This window comes from Homo sapiens, chromosome 4 (genome assembly GCF_000001405.40).
Source record: "Homo sapiens chromosome 4, GRCh38.p14 Primary Assembly".
NCBI classification, from domain to species: Eukaryota; Metazoa; Chordata; class Mammalia; order Primates; family Hominidae; genus Homo; species Homo sapiens.
In genome coordinates, this window is record NC_000004.12 from 57,992,256 (window position 1) to 57,997,253 (window position 4,998).

The 4,998-nt window shown below is 37.3% G+C and overlaps 1 annotated feature.

The window, feature by feature from the left end:
• Positions 3,068-3,568: an enhancer, noted in NCBI's record as "H3K4me1 hESC enhancer chr4:58861489-58861989 (GRCh37/hg19 assembly coordinates)". NCBI's record gives its function as "activates a minimal SCP1, AML or CMV promoter by ChIP-STARR-seq in naive H9 embryonic stem cells {active_cell/tissue: H9 hESC(naive)}" and the evidence as "EXISTENCE:reporter gene assay evidence [ECO:0000049][PMID:30033119]".

A 4,998-nucleotide genomic window follows, 5' to 3' on the forward strand; every position in this document is an offset into this window, starting at 1 on the left:
AACAAAAAACTTTAAATTAGGGACCTGTGAATCTTTAATATTCAGCAATCTATATGAGCCATTCCAAATGGCATTTAGTTATAAATAATCTTCCCAGGTTATGAATCCTCTCAACTGACTCAAGCCTGATGAAAATTACTGTTTAGATGTTGTGGCGACTGTCTAAGGCAGGGGATAAGGATTTCCCCACATTTTAACTCTATCATTGTTTCTAATTTTGACTTTTCAAGTATCCCCGGAAGAGCTTTGACTGTCCCCTGAGGTACAGAGGCTGGTGGTTTGATTAACTGCTTTGACAAAGTATATGAAAAAGCAGGAGGTAAACTGCTCCCTGCCATGCCCCAGAAGCGGTTTGCATCCTATTTGAGGCTACTTGACTCCACTTGTGAAACAGATGCTCAAAAAGGTTTCCTCAGCCTGTGATATTTCAGAAGCTATAGAACCTTTGAAAACTGGTATATCATTAACAGGTGAGATTTGTTCAAGTTACTCAATTCTCCTACTCTACCCAGCTTAATTGGCATGTCAGTCTATGGATCCATCCTGTGATAAAAGGTCAAATGTCTTCTGATTCTCCCAGTCTGACTGGTGAGTTTTAAGGGGCTATGGAGTTGCTTATAGAAAATGAGGCCATTCAGTGAACCTTGCTATTGAACTTGACAAAGAAGCAGACTGAGCGTAGGAAGGAGTATTTCCACATGCATTATTCTAGTTGTCAGACACATCTATCAAAAGATAATTGGAGGACATGTGGGGCCACTGGCTAATGCAACACCTTTTTCTTTTTTCTTTTTTTCCTTCCTTACTTCCTTTGTTCCTTCCTTCCTTCCTTCTTACCTCTTTCTTTCTTTGTTCCTTCCTTCCTTCCATATCTCTTTCTTCTTTCTTTCTCTCTCTCTTTCTTTCTTTCTTTCTTTCTTTCTTCCTCTTCTTTCTTTCTTTCTTCTCTCTCTTCCTCCCTTCCTCCCTTCCTTCTTTCCTTTCTCTCCTTCCTTCCCTCCCTCCCTCCCTCCCTTCCTTCCTTCCTTTTTCCTTCCTTTTTTCTCTCAGAGCAATTAAAATGTAACAATAAAATGGAAACTTTCATGGATAAGGTGAGATCTCAGTTTATGAAACAGAGAAAAAGTTTGGCAATAAGAAAAATACAATTCTAGGAATAATACATTGTTACAATTTAAGATTTCTTCTCTGTTTCTATATGTGTTGTCTGGCCATGCTAATCCTCTCTCAGCCAGTGTGCCTGCCTGTTGCATGTTTTGCACTGTATCTGGTATTGAATCTGATGTGGTCTGGTAAACTATTTTGACCCATGATACCTGCCTTAAGATGTTTAAGTGATAGGACTGGACTGTAAAAAAGAACCAAAGAAAATGTTTCAAGCAGAATGTTAAATAGACCTTTTATTGTGGTTGGAGGCACGTTTTAGGAAATGGACAAGGAGATAAAGACAGCAGGAATTTCTGGAAACATTATAACTGTAAAAAGCATCAGAAATATCTCTGATCCTGCACTATTTGAACAGCCATAGTAAAGGTAGTTGGAGCTGGTCATGAGTTTAGGTGATTGAAGAAAAATATAAACAGCTGCCAGTGAAAGATGCTAGGATTGCATCACCATAGAGACAACACTACAATGCCTCTAAGGAGCTCTGATTCACCTCTCCAATTTTCAGGAATTCATCTTTCTATTAAAAGAAGTATGTGAGCATAGTTGTACTGACATGTTCCTTTTGAGAGATGGTTAATTATTGTTTATGTAATGAAGCTCATATCTGATGCTTTTCAAGCCTTATCTCTTTCTTCTCCCTTTATGTTTTGTACCATCCAGTCAAACCACGGTATTGATTGCTATCTGAACACATTTTCTGTCTTTATGTCTTTTCTCATGCTGTTCTGTCAGCTAGTATGCCCCTTCTCCCATCTCACTCCATCTGTTAGTGCCTGGGTGCAAGGCTGTCTCTTTTCTAAAGACTTTTCTGGTACTCCCAACAAAAAAATCTGTCCTTCCCTTGAATTCCTCTTCTTGTTTTTAATCTCTCTGATGGAATTCATGTATCAGCTTATGTCGTGGTTGTCTGTGTGTATCTTATCTCCACTATGTTAGAAAAATCTCCTTGAGTGTCTCATCCTAATATGAAGCAATATTTTATTAATCTAATTGTAATTTCTGTCTTGTCAACAGAAAACACTATGAGAGCAAAGAATAAAGATTTTCCAATATGTTATTTTTGCTTAATCTTTTTTAATGCTACATTTTAAAAATTATGTAATAGCATTCCGAAATGAGTGTTTGTATAACAATGATGAAATAAAAAAAATAAAGGAATGGAGTATATACTTAAGAAACTATGGGTGCCAATAATAAAATTTCATCCAGTATATATTCAAAAAATTTTAGTCATTCTGCATTATATTCATTAGAGAATTAATCGGATAAACCAAAATTATGACATTTGCGGACAAGTTGCTCAGAAACTGCAATATATAATAGGACAACATGTTAGGAATATAATAAGCTATTTCAGGTCCTTTCAACAACTGTGCAAGATAAAAATTATTATTCAGTTTACATATACTAAAATCAAAGTTCATGAAAAGTAAATGACTTGCTCAAGGGCAGGTAGCTAATAAATATAACCAACATTTCAGAGCTTGGCTTTAAAAATCCCACTCTTCAAAATTAACACAATAAATCTCAGAAAGAGATAAATGCGAAGCAACTACTGAGGAAGAGCTTTCTGCTTTACTTATCAATTGATTGATTCTTTTATTTGACAAATGTTTTTGAGTCCCATATTAGGCACTGTTCTAGAGGCTGGGATGCAGCAATGAACAGATATATTTAGGTAAAAAATAGCTGCTGAATCTCTAGTCATCACATCGGAATTCTAGGCAAATGGAAAGATAAAAGCAAGGGACAGGCCGGGCGCGGTGGCTCACGCATATAATCCCAGCACTTTGGGAGGCCGAGGTGGGCGGATCAGGTCAGGAGATCGACACCATCCTGGCTAACACGGTGAAACCCCCTCTCTACTAAAAATAAAATTGGCCAGGCATGGTGGCAGGCGCCTGTAGTCCCAGCTACTCCGGAGGCTGAGGCGGGAGAATGGCTTGAACCCAGGAGGCGGAGCTTGCAGTGAGCCCAGATCACGCCACTGCACTCCAGCCTGGGCGACAGAGCGAGACTCTGTCTCAAAAAAACACAAACAAACAAAAAAGCAAGGGACATATCCCACCTTCTCCCTTTAAAAGGAGTTTCACAGGAGACCATATCCAAACCTTCTCTCCTTTATAGCTCACTGGCCAGTCCTTAATCATATGGCCACCGCAATCTGCAGGGAAAGCTGGGGTATTTAGTTTTCCATTGCCCATGTTAATACTGGAACAAATTAGGGCTCTATTCATGGAGGAAAAGATTAGGATGGCTATTTCATGGGTAGCTAGCTGCCTCTGACAACACCAAAACCCTTATACACATAGTAACCTGAGAGTGATCTGTCATTACTGTTTGGCTGTAAACTGATTTAGCTGAATACACAAAATAATCTTCAGTCCTTACCTGAGGTGCCTTTCCTTCCTACTTTCTCTCAGCTTTCAATCTCCTTCAAGTTTATAACAACTGTATACAAAAGAACATCTCCACTGTATTTTGATCACAATTCTCTTTTTGGCTCAAATAAGTTATTCATACTCCAGCATAATCAAATCGTGATGTCGGAGTAGGTACACAATATACATTAATTATAGGAGAAAGGAGCTAAAAAAAAAAAAAGAAAATCATAGAAATAATTAAAAAATGAAGAATGATTGGCCGGGCACGGTGGCTGACGCCTTTAATCCCAGCACTTTGGGAGGCCGAGGCCAGGGGATCACGAGATCAGGAGATTGAGACCATCCTGGCTAACATAGTGAAATCCCGTCTCTACTAAAAAATACAAAAAATTAGCTTGGCGTGGTGGCGGGCGCCTGTAGTCCCAGCTACTCGGGAGGCTGAGGCATGAGAATGCATGAACTCGGGAGGCGGAGCTTGCAGTCAGCAGAGATCGCACCACTGTACTCCAGCCTGGGCGACAGAACGAGACTCCGTTTCAAAAAAAAAAAAAAAAGAAGAAGAAGAACGATTTAAGTTTTATTAATAAAAGAATAGGAAATACGTATGTTTAGTCTTTTATATCATTAAGAATTAGAGTATTTTGTAATTAATGTAATTAGCTAATTTACTTATTCTTTTCAAAGAAGTAGGTTAACAAAGGTTTTTTCCATTTCCTATATACTTGTGATTTTAGGAGAAAAAAAAATTGCCTTGCAAAATGGCCAAAAGAATAAAAAGACTAAAAGAATAAAAAATGAAAGAATTAAAATAAAGTTATCTTGAAAAGAGAATGTCATAATACAGTTGAGAAAACAGGAAATTTGAAGGTTTGAGTTATCTCTCAGTAGCCGTTCACCCTTTTTTTTTATGAAATCTGGAAACTCGGAGATTGAAAAGATTTAGGAGAAAAAAATAGAACCAAATAGACAAGATGTGTTACTCATTAAGAGCCAACTATAGTTTACATTGCGTATTTTAGAATAGATTTAATTAAGGTGGTGGAGCAGTGTTCCTCAGGCCTTACTAATTAGCTAATAAAGCCCCCATCACTTCTAATTGTCTCAAACAAAGATTATTACTACAAAAATGAAACAGTTGCTGCTGTAGGGAAATTCAGTGTTTCTTTAAAATAGCAACAATTGGACAATGTAAACAAAGCTGTATCAGTGACTACCATGGAATAACTAGCTAATCTCATTTAAATTTGGTTAAAGAATTAGCAACATTGATATAAAAAAATTAATGAAGAATGACAGGAGTCATAAATGTCTACATATTTGAAGCATACTCAGGTAACCATATTCATGTCAACATTTTATAGTTAATTGCTTAATTGTTTAATTAAATATCTCCTTTTCAACCAAAAAAAGACATCACATGGCTTCTGAACAGAGTTTTAAAAAGCAA